This window comes from Homo sapiens, chromosome 9 (assembly GCF_000001405.40).
Source record: "Homo sapiens chromosome 9, GRCh38.p14 Primary Assembly".
NCBI classification, from domain to species: Eukaryota; Metazoa; Chordata; class Mammalia; order Primates; family Hominidae; genus Homo; species Homo sapiens.
Genome location: NC_000009.12, coordinates 83,205,668 through 83,223,954, shown reverse-complemented (window position 1 = coordinate 83,223,954; position 18,287 = coordinate 83,205,668). Strand labels below are relative to the sequence as shown.

Below are 18,287 nucleotides of genomic sequence, written 5' to 3'. Positions count from 1 at the left end.
TGACAAATGGGATCTAATTAAACTAAAGAGCTTCTGCACAGCAAAAGAAACTACCATCAGAGTGAACAGGCAACCTACAAAATGGGAGAAAATTTTCGCAACCTACTCATCTGACAAAGGGCTAATATCCAGAATCTACAATGAACTCAAACAGATTTACAAGAAAAAAACAAACAACCCCATCAAAAAATGGGCGAAGGACATGAACAGACACTTCTCAAAAGAAGACATTTATGCAGCCAAAAAACACATGAAAAAATGCTCATCATCACTGGCCATCAGAGAAATGCAAATCAAAACCACAATGAGATACCATCTCACACCAGTTAGAATGGCAATCATTAAAAAGTCAGGAAACAACAGGTGCTGGAGAGGATGTGGAGAAATAGGAACACTTTTACACTGTTGGTGGGACTGTAAACTAGTTCAACCATTGTGGAAGTCAGTGTGGCGATTCCTCAGGGATCTAGAACTAGAAATACCATTTGACCCAGCCATCCCATTACTGGGTATATACCCAAAGAACTGTAAATCATGCTGCTATAAAGACACATGCACACGTATGTTTATTGCGGCATTATTCACAATAGCAAAGACTTGGAACCAACCCAAATGCCCAACAATGATAGACTGGATTAAGAAAATGTGGCACATACACACCATGGAATACTATGCAGCCATAAAAAATGATGAGTTTATGTCCTTTGTAGGGACATGGATGAAATTGGAAAGCATCATTCTCAGTAAACTCGCAAGAACAAAAAACCAAACACCGCATATTGTCACTCATAGGTGGGAATTGAACAATGAGATCACATGGACACAGGAAGGGGAATATCACACTCTGGGGACTGTTGTGGGGTGGGGGGAGGGGGGAGGGATAGCATTGGGAGATATACCTAATGCTAGATGATGAGTTAGTGGGTGCAGTGCACCAGCATGGCACATGTATACATATGTGACTAACCTGCACAATGTGCACATGTACCCTAAAACTTAAAGTATAATAAAAATAAATAAATAAATAAATAAATAAATAAATAAATAAAAAAGAAAATTAACATCTCAAAATAAAATATTCAATTTTGCGACTAGAAAAAAAAAAAAGAAATAGCGAGGAAACTAGAATGACAAGCGGAACCTGAAGGTGCCACTGCATTGTGGCTATCTCATGATAAAACTTGAACAGACGAGGAGTTGCTTCTTATGTAGAAGCAAAGGAAATGGTTTGTTGAGATGGAATCCTGGTGAAGGTGCTGTGAACATTGTTGAAATGACAACAAACCTAATTGATCCGTCAGTGGCACGATTTGGGAGGACCGACTCCAATTTTAAAGAAGTTATACTGTGGGCAAAATGCTATCAAACAGAGAAATCTTTCATAAAAGGAAGAGTCAATAGCTGAAACAAACTTCATTGTTGTCTTATTTTAAGAAATTGCCACAGCTGCTCCAACTTCTAGCAACCACCACTCTGATAATTAGTTAGCCATCAATATTGTGGCAAGACCCTCCACCAGCAAAAAGATTATGACTCACTGAAAGCTCAGATGATCATTAGCATTTTTTAGCAAGAAATTACCTTTAAATTAAAGTATGTACTTTTTTTAAGACATAATGCTATTGCACACTTAAAAAAACTACAGTATCATGTAAATGTAACTTTTATATGCACTGGGGAACCATAACATTTGTGTGACTTGCTTTATTGTGACGGTCACTTTATTGCAGTGGTCTGGAACCTGAACCCACAACATCTTTGAGATATGTCTGTATTTGCAACTGAACTTCTAGCAAAACGAATTTCACAATTTTTCCTGACCATATATCTTTCAAAGAAGGATTATCCCCTGCCCATCATCAGAAGACGATACTGGGGACTTTCTTCTGCTCACTATTTGAGAGCAGACTACCCACTACTCTCACTCTTCATGAATTACTCAAGTGACCATGAAAACAAAATCAGTTCTTCCAGAGCCCCTGCTGGCTGCCCTGCTACTGGGCTTGGGTTCTTCACTGTACTATACTAAAGATTTGGCTCCAAATACCAGTGCTATCACTTCCTGGCTATGTGAGCTTGAAGGTGGCATTTGACTAATTCATGAATGTCAGTTTTGTTGCTTGTAAAGTGGGGATAACCGTATCCATTTGAGACAGCAATTTTGAGAATTAAATAATGTTGAGCATCTGAAACATAATGTAAGTTTGTCCTCCCTGCCAAATTAATTCTTTATCTACTCTGTTTCAAAAGGCTTCTCCCATCCCCCTCTTGAGGAAGACAGCCCAAAACTATTTTGCCACTTTGAAAAACCAGACGTGTCCAACAGCTGTCTACCATTCTACCTTACGGAGACCTCTTGGGGAGGTCATTGGTGTTCCAGTTTAGTGTTTTCCAAAGTATGTTCTGTGGAATAGTTGCTCTGCAAGTCATTGTACAAAAAAGTTTCACAGGAAATAAATGTGAGAAATGCTGTAAGTATAACTTTAACTTGAAGAGTCACAATATATATTTGCTTTCTAAAATTTCTGAAAAAAAGTCCTGCAGTAAAGAAATACATTTAATCAAGTATTTTACACACTTATTTGACCATGGGTCTCTTTCTTATGTAAAATGACATTTATTATCCCAAAGGATATACTGTGGTCTGCTCACTTGGCCCTAACCTTCTCAGCCCTTTCACCTCCTTTTAGCAATAATTCATGATTTGGAAGTTTGAATTGGAGGAAGTGCATTCTACGTGATGTAGAAAAAGCTGCTCTTATTTTATGTTGCTAAAATAGAGGTCATAAGCTGACAGAATGGACTCTTTGTGGTAATAAGATACCAAATTATAAACAAGACCTAAGGTGGTAGTAGGCAAGGGTTAAGTCCTACAGCCCCTACAGTTAAAGAATAAACTATTTTCTAACTGCCTCAAGGTTTTTCTTTTTCTCTATCAGCAAAACAAGCACTGGTCTCCAGATAAGCAATATTGAAACAATTGCAGCTCACTAACCACCAAACACTGACTAACTGACCTCGTGCTCCACAAGGCATAACTACAGCTCTGACTGGACAAGAGACTGATTTCAGTAACTTTCTTCTAAGAGACCACAGACCGGTTCTGGCTGATTCATAGAGGCTGAGCGTTGATTACTTTCATGTCCCTGCTTCACCTTTTAATGTGTGTGGCCTAAATTTGACTGTATCTTAATGTTGTCTCCACCCCAAAGTGAACATGTGTTGTATGTTACATACATGTTCATTCTGTGCATATGTATTGACTCATAAATATTCATAAGATTCTCCTATAACCTACTGAATATGTATGTATAGCTAATTTCCTTGGGCATAAATCTCAACCTCTCCCTTTTATCCTCTGAAGTGCCTGCTATTGGTCTCTGCCAGAGGCTAGCTTCTACCTGTCATGATGGCCACCCTGCAAGCTGCAACTCGTTATAAGAAATAAAGTCTCCTCTCCAAATTTAAGATCTCATGATTTTAAGCTGACAATGCCTATACATGAAATAACAGAAGTCAGACCTATAAACAGGTTATCAAAATAAGGTACAGTAAATGCATGAGGTACTAGAGACCCATAGATTATCCCACTCTATTGAGCTGAGCGTCCCGTAAACCTCTAAGACAGGCTATGCAGATACGACAGGTCCTGATTTTATAGTCATTGAAGCTATGGCGATCCCCATTAGCGCAGAAGCGAGTCCTCTCTCACCACCACGCTGCCTCCTGAAGGTGGTCAGGTGAGGCTCATAGTTACTCAGTGTGCAGCCAAGGCTAACGCTTGGCTCCATCAATCCTGAAGTCCCACCTGATTGCCCAATGAAAGATAAAGCTCGGGGGGGCTGAGAAATAATACACGTGAACTGAAGGGCAGTGTAATGTTCCCCTCAAGGGGAACATTATTGCTTTACAAGCGTGGATTCTTTGTTCTGAACCCTAACTGTAAACTAGGAATTGGGGCTGAGAGCTTCTTCCATTTACAGCCCTAGGCTCTGCTCTGCATCCAAGCTCCGCTTCCTAGAAGTGCTGCTTATATTATTAACCAGGCTGCAGCCGGAATTAGCCAGAAACCACACTGTCGGCTCTGCTTTGCGGAAGGAATAGGAGCGAAGGACGAGGCTGCCCCCCAGTGGGAAACCCACAAGAAGCAGCGACGCTTCCAATCAGCTCACAACTTTCAGTATTGCAAGGAGAGGAATGGGCTCCGCATTTCCAGCTCCAAGCACTCCATTTCAGAGCCGCTGGGGAGGATTTTGGGGTGCAAATTCTTTTACCATTACGGGGTAGTGGTATGGCGTTGAGAAATAAGAATAGGCGAACCTCGTATCTACCAATCTCCCAACTCTATAAACGGCCCCTGGTTAAATCCAGATTCCGGATCCTGGCTGGGAGATTTTGATTTAGCAGGGCAGGAGTGGGAAACTAGGGAGGGTTTGGGTTTTAAATCAGCGTAATTCTGATCATCTGGCAAATTTGAATATTCTGCGCTGGGAGGCGACTTTCTGCTTCACTTTCCCAGAACCCGGGCAGGGGTCAAGCCCTTGCGAGTCAAGGGAACCCAGGAGTTGCTCTCTTACCTTTGTATTCCCGCAGCCTCCAACTGCAACTCCGGCGTCGCCCGGGCAGCCCGACCCAGCCAACCTGCCCAGGATCCGCCCATCCGCCGCGATTTCCATGGCGACCGATGGCGCCGCCTTCCGCAGCCTTAGGGCGGGGTAAGCGGGGGACCTAACTCTCTGTCCAGGCACTCAGTGCCCGACCTGCAAGTGGGGACGGAATTCTCGTCCAGGACAGTCAGGCTAAGAAGTAACTTTTATTATTATTATTATTTATTACTTTGAGTACTTCTTGCGCCCATTATTAAAAATTAAGTGTTTCTTTTTTGTTTTTGTTTGGTTCGGTGGGTAGAATATATGTGACATGTTTTTCTAGGATTTTCTTCTTAACATTTTATCTTCAGATTCAAATGCTTTGGACAGACTCACCGACTGCCCGGCTGAGAGAATCTGTGAGGTCTACCTGCCTAGCAATTTGCCTTTGCACGGTCCTCCTGTGAGGAGTGAGGACACACAGGTATGTGGCTTCTGTAAATGTCCACGCTGGGATAGTTCCCAGACCGTCGACTTTCTGTCCCTTTCTTGACTGTCCAGTCTCACCTTTCTCTCAAACACTGCTGCTTCAGCCGAATCCAGATGTGGGAGGCCAGGTTCTCAGGTGGCCTGGTGGGAATGCAAGGGCGGTGCTCTCAGAAACATCTGGGGGCGAGCTTGCCACTCAGAAGCAGGGAAAACTGTTTCAGCTTTCTTTATGAGAGAGACACACCTGGCTGGAGGTGCTGGTTTTTCTGCTTGACAACCCTGAGGCCTGGGCATACCTCAGAGGTGCTTCAGGTAGCTTGGTCAGCATGTTTCAGCTAGTCAGGTCCTACCCCCACGGTCTGTGGGCTTTTAGTTTTGGAGTGGGTATGATGGAGTCCTAGGACCCTGGATGACCTCACATTCAGGGTGCTTTCTTGGGGGCAGTTTGGCTGTTCAAGCTGGCTGGAGGCCAAATGGAAATCTAGACATCTCAGAAAACTGGTTGATATGCTGGGTTAGTGAGGATGAGGGAGGGGAGTGTTGTTTTACTTTTCACAGTAACCCAAAAGAGTTACCATCTATTACTATCTCCATTTTGTAGAAGAGGAAAGGGAGGCGCAGAGAATTTCAGAAACTCCCAGGATCTGGCTTCCACGTGCACACTTGGTACTTTGAATTTAGCTTAATTTTCTTTTTCCCTAATGGAGTGTTTATTCATGCTACCTTTCACCCACTCCTATTAATCTAGCCAAATTCATTCACTCATTTATCAGTAAGCTGTTTCATTTCTGCCCCCTCCCCTGTCACTGTAGTTCCACAGGACCAGAGACAACCACATGTGTTTTATGAAGTTATGTATCTGGCATGCAATTAGGCTCCAAGGAAAGTTTGATGAATGGATAAAGAGCAAAAGACAGTGAGTGCCTCAGAGTTTTTGCATTTATTGGATAAATTAGGAGGAGAAGGAAACATAAGTAACATTTATAATTACCTTTTCTGGACCAGACACCTAAGATATTTTATCCCCCTTTATTCCTGTACCGTGAGATAGGAAAAGTTTAAGACCCACTTCCCCACCCCCCAACTCTATTTTTATGAATGAGGAAACCGAATGTATTAGTCTGTTCTCACATTGCTGATAAAGACATACCTGAGACTGGGTCATTTATAAAGAAAAATAGGTTTAATGGACTCACAGTTCCACGTGGCTGGGGAGGCCTCACAATCATGGCGGAAGGCGAAGGAGGAGCAAAGGCATGTCTTACATGGCAGCAGGCAAGAGAGTGTGTGCAAGGGAACTGGCCTTTATAAAACCATGGTAGTGAGAAACTTATTCACTACCATGAGAACAGTATGCGGGAAACTGCCCCCATGATTCAATTACCTCCCTCTGGGTCCCTCCCATGACGTGGGGATTATGGGAGCTATAATTCAAAATGATATTTGGGTGGGGACAAAGCCAAACCATATCATTCTGCCCCTGGCTTCTCCCAAATCTCATGTCCTCACATTCTGAAACCAATCATGCCTTCCCAACAGTCTCCCAAAGTCTTAATTCATTTCAGCATTAACTCAAAAGTCCACAGTCCAAAGTCTCATCTGAGACAAGGCAAATCCCTTCCACCAATGAGCCTGTAAAATCACAAGCAAGTTAGTTAATTTCTAGATACAATGGGGGGTAAAAGCATCGGATAAATACCCCCTTTCCAAATGGGAGAAACTGGCCAAAACAAAGGGGCTATAGGCACCATGTAAGTCTGAAACCCAATAGGGAAGTCATTAAACTTTAAAGTTCCAAAATGATCTCCTTTGACTTTATGCCTCACATCCAGGTCATGCTGATGCAAGAAGTGGGCTCCCACAACCTTGGACAACTCTGCCTGTGTGGCTTTGTAGGGTACAGACTGCCTCCCAGCTGCTTTCACAGCTGGTGTTGAGTGTTTGCAGCATTTCCAGGTGCATGGTGTAAGCTGTTAGTGGATCTACCATTCTGGGGTGGGGAGAATGACTACAGTATTGAATTTCAGACTTACATGGGGCCTATAGCCCCTTTGTTTTGGCCAGTTTCTCCCATTTGGAAAGGGTATATTTATCCAATGCCTTTACCCCCATTGTATCTAGAAATTAACTAACTTGCTTGTGATTTTACAGGCCCTCTTCTCATAGCTCCACTAGGCAGTGCCCCAGTGGGGACTCTGTGTGGGGGCTTCAGTGGCTTCAACCCCACATTTCCCTTTCGCACTGCCCTAGCAGAGGTTCTCCATGAGGGCCCTGCTCCTCCAGCAAACTTCTGCGTGGACGTTCAGGTGTTTCCATACATCCTCTGAAATATAGGCAGTGGTTTCCAAACCTCGGTTCTTGGCTTTTGTGTACCCGCAGGCTCAAGACCACGTGGAAGCTGCCAAGGATTGGGGCCTGCATCCTCTGAAGCCACAGCCTGAGCTGTACCTTGGGCCCTGTTAGCCATGGCTGGAGCAGCTGGGACACAGGGCACCAAGTCCCTAGGCTACACACAGCAAGGGGGCCTGGGACCTGGCTCAGGAAATCATTTTTTCCTCCTAGGTCTCTGGGCCTGTGATGGAAGGGGCTTCCACAAAGCTGTCTGACATGACCTGGAGACATTTTCCCCATTGTCTTGGTGATTAACATTTAGCTCCTCGTTACTATGCAAATTTCTGCAGCCAGCTTGAATTTCTCCCCAGAAAATGGGGTTTTCTTTTCCATCACATTGTCAGGCTGCAAATTTTCTGAACTTTTATGCTCTGCTTCCTCTTGAACACTTTGCTGCTTAGAAATTTCTTCCACCAGATACCCCAAATCATCTCTCTCAAGTTCAAAGTTCCACAGATCTCTGGGGCAGGGGCAAAATGCTGCCAGTCTCTTTGCATAGCAAGAGTGACCTTTATTCTAGTTTCCAACAAGTTCCTTATCTGTATCTGAGACCACGTTAGCCTGGACATTATTGTCTATATCACTATCAACATTTTGGCCAAAAGCATTCAATAAGTCTCTAGGAAGTTCCAAACTTTCCCATATCTTCCTGTCTTCTGAGCCCTAGAAGTCTCTAGGAAGTTCCAAACTTTCCCATATTTTCCTGTCTTCTTCTGAGCTCCTCAAACCATTCCAACCTCTGCCTGTTACCAAGTTCCAAATTTGCTTCCACATTTTCAGGTACCTTTGCAGCAGCACCCTACTGTCTGCAGTATCAATTTACTGTATTAGTCCGTTCTCACACTGCTAGTAAAGACATACCTGAGACTGGGTAATTTATAAAGAAAAAGAGGTTTAATGGACTCACAGTTTTGAAATGGGAGAGTTCCCTGATCCCCTTAGCAGGATGTGTGACAGGAGTGTGGCTTGCCCCTGACAAGGGGGAGCACGCAGACAGGCAGGAGCCAGGGGAGCACTATAGGCTCCAGCCCTGTGGTAGTGTCTACTGTCTAGGGGTGGGTGTCTGTGGCCCCAGTGTTACAAAGCTCTCTTACCCTTGCCATCCACAGATGGCTTGAGTGTTAACCAGCTCAATGGACCCTCTGCCTTTTTGCAAGGGTAGAGGGCCAGTGTGATAGCTTTTAATACCCTGAGCTCTTGCCCAGCATCCCAGAAGAATCGGGTCACACATGGGCTTGAAGGATGAATGTGAAGTTTTATTGAGTGGTGGAGGTGGCTCTCATCAGGATGGATGGGGAGCTGGTAGGAGGGGATGGAATGGGAAGATGATCTTCCCCTGGAGTTGGGCTGTCCAGTGGCCTAACTCCTCTCCAACTACCCCCAGTCCAACTCTTCTTGGTGTTCAGACGTTCCTCTTCTCTCTTTCTCTGCCACATCATTTGCTGTCTTTCTGCTTGTCTCATCTCTTTGTCTGCTGGTCTGCTCTGGAGCCTGGGGTTCAGGGTTTATATGGGTACAGGATAGGGAGCATGGTAGTCCAAAAAGCAACTTTTTGGGTGCAAAAACAGGAATGCCTATCCTTGTTTAGGGCTGTGGGTCTTTAGGCTTGAGAGTGGGGCCTTTGCCAGGGAACCACCCTTTTCTACCCAGTGTTTCCCTGTCTACTGTCTGTATCAGTTCTACATGGCTGGGGAGGCCTCACAATCATGGTGGAAGGCGAAGGAGGAACAAAGCCATGTCTTACATGGCAGCAGGCAAGAGACTATGTGCAGGGGAACTGCGCTTTGTAAAACCATCAGATCTTTGAGACTTATTCACTATCAGGAGAACAGCATGGGAAAACCCACCACCATGATTCAATTACCTCCCACAGGGTCCCTCCCATGACACATGGGGATTATTGGAGCTACAATTCAAGATGAGATTTGGGTGGGGACCCAGCCAAACCATATAACCAAGGTTGAGTCATTTACCTAAAGGGACATTGATAGCTCATGGTAGACCTGGGATTTAAACCCAAAATTGTTTGCCTGACTCTAGAATCCACACATATTCTTTAAATATTTTTAAAAATTAATTAATATTTATTTATTTATTTTTTGAGACAGAGTCTTGCTCTGTTGCCCAGGCTGGAATGCAGTGGCATGATCTTGACTCATTCCAACCTCTGCCTCTAGGGTTTTAAGCAATTCTCATGCCTCAGTCTCTTGAGTAGCTGAGATTACAGATGCACACCAACATGCCTGGCTAATTTTTGTATTTTTAGTAGAGATGGGGTTTCCCCGTTGGCCAGGCTGGCCTTGAACTCAGGTGATCAGCCCACCTCAGCCTCCCAGAGTGCTGGGTTACAGGTGTGAGCCACTGTGCCCGACTTAATTAATTAATATTTAAGGATGAGGTCTCACTGTGTTGCTCAGACTATAGTGCAGAGGCTTTTCACAGGTGCAGTCATGGCTCACTACAGTCTTGAACTCCTGGGCTCAAGTGATCCTCCCACCTCAGCCTCTCAAATAGCTGGGATTACAGGCATGTTCCACTGTGCCTGGCAGAATCCATGTATTTTTAATGTGCTGTACCACCTGCTGGAGCTTCCAAAATGATGAAGTAGTGGCCAAGGGGAAAGTAGAATATTTTTTTCCTGAGTGAAAAGTTAAAAATGAAAATTTGATTGTTTAGATCAAATTAGATTGATTCTTTAGCTAGTTAACAAGAGTGTGTTGAGGTTCTACCATATACTCGGCATGAGAGGAGAGATAAATATATGTAAAATAACAAAGTCCTGAGGCTGGGGAGAGAGTTCTTCATTTAGAGGAGACTGTTCTCTCACCTGGGTCCTGGCTTAGAGAATCCTGAAGCTTTAGCCTTAAAGTAGGGGTGGAGAAAATGAGGAGAGTTTTATCCATCAGCTACTTCCGTTATAGACTTGTCTGAGATGGAATTGCAGGTTATTTTAAATGAGACAGATATTGTATAAGCACCAGAAATAGAACAACGGTGTCTGTTAGATTTGAGGAGGGAAAGTCTTCTTTTAGAATATGTAGTGTTATTTTGTTTTACTTTTTATTTTTATCTTTTTTTTTTTTTTTCAGATGAAGTCTCGCTCTGTTGCCCAGGCTGGAGTGCAGTGGTACAATCTCAGCTCACTGCAACCTCTGCCTCTTGGGTTCAAGTGATTCTCCAGCTTCAGCCTCCCAAGTAGCTGGGACTACAGGCACATGCCACCATGCCCCTCTAATTTTTGGATTTTTAGTAGAGATGGGGTTTCACCATGTTGGCCAGGCTGGTCTCGAACTCCTGACCTCAAGTGATCTACCTGCCTTGGCCTCCCAAAGTGCTGAGATTACAGATGTGAGCCACTGTGCCTAGTTGTTTTCTTTCTTTTTTTTTTTTTTAAAACGTGTGCATTGTGCATTGTTTCCCGGTTTATCGTACTAAAAGAAGAAACTATTTTGTGTTCTAATAATTTATCACTGTGCAGGTAGTTTGGCTTTTGGTAAAAGACAACCTCTGTTTCCAGTTTGTAACTGATGTATCATTCTCCTTGTTTTCCCTGCCCTTAATTTAATGTGGTTACGCTTCTGTTTTCTTTCCTTAAATTCACTTGCAGCTTTTCTCCCCACTCTCTCTCTTAATGTCACAAGTTTTGCGTGAACCATTCCCTTTGCCTCTCCCTTGACTTCTGCTCTGCCTGCTACAATCTTTGGGGTTTACAGCCCACTAAGCAGTCCCACTGGCTATGCTGGAGAAAGCAAGCATCTTTTTCATGCCTATAGGTGGCATGTACAGACTGCACCCTGCAGAGGAGCTGGGAGGCAAAGCTTATTTCTTGGAAGTTTTCAGTCACTTGCAAGGAGCAGCTATGGACACAGTGAAGCGCAGAGGTCCAAAGAGAAATTCTGTCATTCAAGAAGGAATGAAATAAAGGCTTATTAAGCAACTATCTGTTTATCTATATATACCGACACTGTCAGTTGTATACAATGCTCTTAAGTAATTGCAAATCATAATTGTAAAACTTTTTCTTTTTTCTGTTTGGCTTCAGATATTTTCTTTTCCATGGGCAGACCAGTTTATTTGTGTTTGAATTAATGGCTTATGAATTTGGGTTCTAAAAATACAACTTGAGCTATACATTGGTTATGACAATGCAGAGCCAGCTAAATAATTAAAAGTGAGAGGTAATATATCCAAGAGTTAAGAAAAACAAGAACTCTGAAACCAGTAGACTTGGGCTGAAATTCTGGCTTTCCTATCTACAGCTATGTGACCTTGGGCAAGTTACTTAACCTATCTGTCTTCTGTTTTCAAAGCATTAAGTGCTATGTGTTAACAGCTACTGTTATTATTTTGTTGTTATTGTTATCACACATTTTTCATATCTCTCACTGGACCCTGATTTTATATACATATATACATACATATAAATATATGTACACACACACACACATACACCCACACACTAAGGGTTTATTTTTTTCAATTCAAGTACTAGTTTCTGGGTTTCTGAGGTCCTAAGTATACAGTGATACTAATTATACATGAGTACAATTTCCTGACAATGGGTCTTCATGCTGTTATTGTTTACAGTGAGAAAGCTGTGGAAAGAGCGCTGGGCTTCCAAAAGCCACGGGTTCCTTTATAAGTTGGCTACTTACTTCTTGTGGGCATAGCTGTGGTCCTACTTTCTGGATCTGAGTGTCCATCTCTAATAAGTGACAGGCACAAGTGGCCTAGACAATAGCCAAGTCATCTTTACTCCACTGTGGCCCTAATGACACCCTTATATGCATCATGATAAAAAATAAGGTTAGTGCAAGGCAATGTGCAATGTAATGAGAAAAGGGTAAAAAGCTGAAACCATATGGTCTTCAGACTAGCTTCCACAGTCCCAGTATCTCACTCTTTGATGAGCTAGTCCAGTCTGCTGAGATTATTGATTGGGGCCAGCCTAGATGAAATGTTCTTGGTTTCAAAGAAGAGCTGAAGAGTAAAGAGTCTTCTCGTTCTTTGACTTTGCTACAGTGTGAAAACCAGACCCTTTGGGAGTTCAAGTTGTTGCTGAGAACAACCAGTTCAATATCCCAGCAGAATCATGGCTACCTTCAGTTATGGAGTCTGGCTGACTTCATGCTTGTTGATCAGTTATTTATGAAGCACATTCTACATGGTTAAAAAATGTTATTGGTGCTCTAAAAATATAAAAGAAAAAAAAACCCATAACCTACTATATGTGCCCTAAATCAGAGAGACTAGATGTGGCTACCTTAAAAATTAGATACATCATTAAGTCAAGGAAAGACTGAGGATCTGTCCAGATTGAAGGAGACTAAAGAGGCATGGCAACTAAATGCAATGCATGATTTTGAATTGAATCCTTTGCTAGAAAGGACATTACTGGAACAACTGGTGAATATTGAATGGAGTATGAGGATAAGATGGTCATAATGTATCAATGTTACTTTCCTGTTTTTGCTGGCTATGTTGTAAAGTATGAAAGATAATGTCCTTGTTTGTAGAAAATCTACACTAAATTATTCAGGGATGATGGACTATTAGGTTGGCAACTTACTCTCAAGGGGATAAAATGACTTTTTACCTGGGGTGACTGACCAGCTTCGTTTGTCTGGGATAGTCTCAGTTTTAGCATTGATGGCCATGTGTCGGGGAAACCCCTCAGTTCCAGGCAAACAGGGATGGTTGGTTACCCTATTTATACTATACCTATAACATTTTGTAAATTTGAGTTGTTTCAAAATAAATGTTTTTGTAAAACATTAGATAACTCAAGAAACAAAAATTAAAATGACCAATATAATAAGCATGAGTAAAGAAGCAATACATGATAGTTTCTAAGCAATGTACAGACACTAAGTGGTATCGTTTGTAGAAGGTGTCATTCATGGTGAGCTGGAATGGTCAGATATGGTAGATGATACTACATGAGAGATTGCAGGCGTGCTGCCAGTCTGAGGATGTCCCACTACTGTGGTGCAATGGAGACAGGGCCCTTATCATGCATGACCTTGCTGTTCTCAACCAGGCTGACCTTGAAGAAGTCACTTCATCATTCTAAGCCTCGGTCCCCTATTCTGCAAAGTAAGAATATTGTACAGAAGATTTCAAATGCTTTTTCATGGCAGTTGAATCCTTTCCTTAAAGGAAGTCTTGCCATTTAAAATGTACTAGAATTGCTCTAGTTGAAGTGCATGAAGGGTTTCAAATCCTGCAGTCCCCTTGGCCCCCTCCAAACCCCTTCTGTCATGATCTCTGATTTTCCTTGCAAATATGGAGCTCTGCAGAATGCATTGCAAAAGCCACTGGGCTAGAAAGGATTTTTCATGTATAATCACTCCTTTGCCTTCTAAGATAGATGGCTCCTTTTTCTCGTGGAAAATTCCATGACGCAAATATCTGTTACTTCCAGAACAGACATGATGTCTTCAGAAATTATTTGTCAAAGTGCATAAATACATATTTCAAAGTGTCTATTTAGTGTTATTTAGTATCAACATTATGTGTATAAGATTATAACTTCTTGTAACTTAGCAACACCTAAACATGCATTTATTTATGAGATTGATTTCCTATTGGGCATAGAGTCAAATGCAGCCTGAGAACACTAAACAGGGGTCAGGGAAGCGGGAGGGCACAGGCTAAGTCTAGGCCAACATGGACCATGACTTTTTTAATATAAAGTCATGGTTTCATCCTGAAATTTTTTCTCCAAAAGTGACATGACAGTCATTATACTTTTCGTCATTATACTTTTAGTATAAGGATTAAGAAAATACACAATGTCAAAAGGCTTCTCTGAGTTCAGAAGTCATTTGCATATGAATATGTATTTCATGAATTGCAGTGTTATTTGTTTATTATTCAGGCATTTTTTAGCTCACATATGGATTCTCCAATGACTTGCAGCAACTGTGACTCGCTCCACCCCAGGGGTCTGCAGCCCTTGGCCTGGGCCAGTTTCTTCTGGCCAAATTTGCTCATCTGGAAGCCTTCACACATGCTGTTGCTTCTGCCTGAAACAGCATGTATTTAAAAAATGTCTCTTTTTAAAAAATTTGCAGATGAATCCATTACCTCCCATACAGACTGCACATTCTCCACAGAATGAAGCAGACATTCCTCAATCCCATGGCCTAAAGCTCTCACGAGCCAAGTGTGTAACTTACTGTGAAAGCATTGGGATCCTCAAGGGTGATTCTTCCAGAAATGGCAGCCAATCAGTGTTGATGGCTTCCCAAGACATCCAAGTGAACCCCACAGAACATCAGACCTTCAGGCTGAGGGGCCTTCAGGCGTTACCTCATTATTTAGCAAATGGAAAGAAACCTCTGCTCCTTGAAGTGTCCAAAGTGACTCCCGGAGAAGCAGAGCAATACTGGGACCAGAGAGCCCAGTGGGGGCCCAAGAGAAATTGCTGCCCAACTGAATGGCATCTCCATATGGTGGCTGATGCCTTTGTCCCTGAGGCACAGAAGCTGAGTCATGTTATAAATTGGGCCCAGAAGTTCTTGTGCAGCTCTCCCAAAAAGCACAAGTTGAAAAGTCCCCAAACTTCTGTAGGACTCCCTTGGTCTAACCTTTGCCAAAGTTCAAATGCTCTAGGAAATAAGAAAAAGGGTTATCTGAGATCATCTGATCCTCCCCCTCTGCTCAGAGACCAGTCTGGTACCCAAATGGATATTCATAGCTTCCCTTTAAGCTCCCAGAACAACTTGTCAGAAATGGCCTTGTCTTTGGAATTTTCAAATTCCTTCCTGGAGAATTTTCCTGGCTATCGGTCTTGTGGGCGGCAAGAAACTACAGTTAGGAATGAGAGGGAGGGAGGAGGTGCCATGCCCCCTGCTAAAAGTCTTAAGCAGGAGGAGTCTGCTGAACAACAATATGACAGAACAGGAAATAGACATATTCAGAACTCCAGTGAGGATGAGATGTTTCCTGAGAGGTTGGGGTTCAGCCACAACTCAGACACACCTATGTAGATAGTAAGGTTTTAGAGGAGACTGGGCAGAGCCCACCCAGAAATGGTTACTTCTGGAGTCCACTGACAGACAGCTCAGAGGAGGAACTTTTAGAGGAACCTGGGGGAGGGAAGAGAACTCTCAGAAGGGGTGTTCTAGGCAGGAAATGCAGAGAGTTTCCAGGAATTTTCTTATCTCCCACAAGGGGTAGCACACTGGTACCAGAAATCACTCTGCTGGAAAGTAGTGTTTCCTGTCCTGGAGACACGCCCCTGGGAGAGGATGTCAGGGCAGAGTTCAGAGTACAGCCTGCAGGGACGCCCAAGGGTGCCATAGCAGGATGGCCGGTTGACAACTGCAGAGGTGACGACCCCATCCAGAGGCTGCCTGAAGGTCAACGTACAGCCCCCTGCGACAGCGACAGCTCCAATGGATGGAGAAAGGAATCAGACAATACAGCGTTTGCTTTAAGGTCCCCCCAGATTGATATTAACAATAAAAATGAATGGAGACATGCCACTACAAGAACAGAAGGAGAGACTGATGGGGAGTGTACCAAGAGGCGGTCAGAACAGTTGTGTGCAGAGTTCTGTTAAAAGCAGCCCTTGGCCAGGCGCGGTGGTTCATGCCTATAATCCCAACACTTTGGGAGGCGGAGACGGGTGGATCATGAGGTCAGAAGTTCAAGACCAGCCTTGCCAACATGGCGAAATCCCATCTCTACTAAAAATATAAAAATTAGCCGAGTGTGGGGGCACATGCCTGTAATCCTAGCTACCTGGGAGGCTGAGACAGGAGAATTGCTTGAAGCTGAGAGGCAGAGGTTGCAGTGAGCTGAGATTGCGCCACTGCGCTCCACCACCCTGGGCTACAGAGCAAGACTCCGTCTCAAAAAAAAAAAAAAAAAAAAAAAAGCAGCCCTCCTGAGATAACTCTGAGGCAGTTTGATCTAGTACATCCTGAAAGTTATCGGGCCCCTCAAGTTGCCACCCTCTTGCTGAATATGTTAGAGGGCCCCCTGGAGAATGTGGCCTTTCACATACATTCAGGCTCTGGTAACTTCGATGAACCCACTGCAGATGCACATGGTATATGCAGGGCAGCACTTGGTTTCACCAGTTGCCACCACCTGGGATGGACTGAAGATTAGTGCAGACACCCTGAGCGGAGACCCAAGGAAATAACTCGAGAGCAAAAGGAAAAGCCCCTGCCTTCAATTTATCCCACTTCCAGTGACTTTTTCACAACCGGTGTGAAGGCATCCTTCCCATTCCAGGATGTCTGTGATAGCCTCTCTTGGAGCAGAATGTCCGTGATAGACTCTCTTGGAGCAGAATGTCCGTGATAGACTCTCTTGGAGTAATGACCCGTCCCGTAAACCAGAGCATGGGGCCAGTGTACTGGAGACATATTTCTGCTATTTCCATGTGCGGAGCAAGATCAGGGGTCTCTTTTCAGAAGAGGGAAACTCCTCTTTACCTTTCCAGGGTCCTAGACTATCTGAATCAGAGTCAGGTGTCATATCTCCAGGAGGGAAAGGCAGGTCTGAAGGGACCGGCCTAGACGGGAAGACGCAACAGTGGAGAGATGGGAGCAGGAGTAAGGCAGCCATGGAAGGTGAGGGGAGCGCCCATCCCCAAGGAGAAGGCTGGGCCAAAGAGGCAGCTCTGGAGGTGAACAGCTTCTGGAAGCCTGAAGGCAACTATGGTATGAAATGAGAGCTGGGCAAAAAAGTCTCATGAGCAGCAATTTGTTGGCACTTGTATAACCTGTCACGTGGCCACTGGGGATGAGACACAGGCCTCCGGGCCTCTGGCTTCATCACGTACTCGCTGTTATTAAGACCTCTAGGCTTCATTTTCCATAAACACCAAATGGGGATAATTATCAGCATATAGCGTATACTGTAAGATGCTATGCCAATATTTGTTGTATTTTGTCAGACCAAAAGCCATTAGCTGGTTAAAAGTAATCTTAGTAAATCGTTATTCTGAAAGGTAAAAGCTACAGCATTTTTCTGATTGGATCTCCCTCTCTCTGAGGTGCTGGCATTTTCCATGAGCATGATGATTCTATTCATTTTGCTGTCTTGTCGTTTGTATGGAAATAAGTATTTTATGCCTGTCATCTGAAATACATTTTAATAACCCAGCATTAGAAAATAGAAATTTGCCTTTCCAGTTTGAATGCTGTGTAGATTAAAAACAAAGATTAATTCCTTTTTCTTTCATAGAATAAACCCAGATTAGGAATATAAAACACTTTGCTAGATCTTAACGAAAAAATATTCTTATTTGAATTCACTTTCCTTGTTTTTTGAACTAGGTTACATGATTTGTTATGAACAATAGTAAAATATAACATTTCAAAGCTATTTTGAGAAATGGCTGAAACGATAGAAGGTACAAATTATTAAAATATGCTTATAATATTTTTTATAAGATTTATGAGGTGGAGGGACATGCCTTTTTTAGTGCAATTAACAGAGGATATCTGCAAAATAAAATCTATGTGCTTAATATGAAAAGTGAAGGATTTTCAACTTCTTATTTCATATTTTTAGGGTAGTTATATTCTACTGCCCCCAAAATGATATTCAGAATGACCAGCTATAGGAGGTCCTAGGAAATGTCTATACGGTGTGTTCATCTAGTAAATGTGGAGAGGAAAGGCCGAGGTTTGACCATTCTTTTGTTTTGTCACATAATATTAACATTTTAAACATTTAAACATTTCAACATTGGCAATCTTCTGAGAAATTAGTTAGCATTCCAGTGTATACAGTGTGGTAAAATTGATTACGTATTGAAGGTCTACCATGTGTAAGATACTGTACCAAGGGAAG

At 43.1% G+C, this 18,287-nt stretch overlaps 1 protein-coding gene and 1 long non-coding RNA gene across 3 annotated transcripts in view; one reads left to right on the top strand and one right to left on the bottom strand.

Annotated features, from left to right (window-relative positions):
• Positions 1–4,610, bottom strand: part of FRMD3-AS1 (FRMD3 antisense RNA 1) — a 51,489-nt gene extending 46,879 nt beyond the window's left edge. For both annotated transcript variants that reach the window (NR_184120.1, NR_184121.1), the window contains exon 1: positions 4,578–4,610. This is a non-coding gene — a long non-coding RNA (FRMD3 antisense RNA 1). The remainder of the gene's footprint in view (positions 1–4,577) is intronic.
• A 120-nt stretch (positions 4,611–4,730) lies between these two features.
• RASEF (RAS and EF-hand domain containing) overlaps positions 4,731–18,287 on the top strand; it is a 239,635-nt gene continuing 226,078 nt past the window's right edge. The window contains exons 1-2 of the mRNA XM_047422827.1: positions 4,731–4,806; positions 4,961–5,073. The gene's annotated coding sequence lies outside the window, so the exon portion shown is untranslated. The remainder of the gene's footprint in view (positions 4,807–4,960; positions 5,074–18,287) is intronic.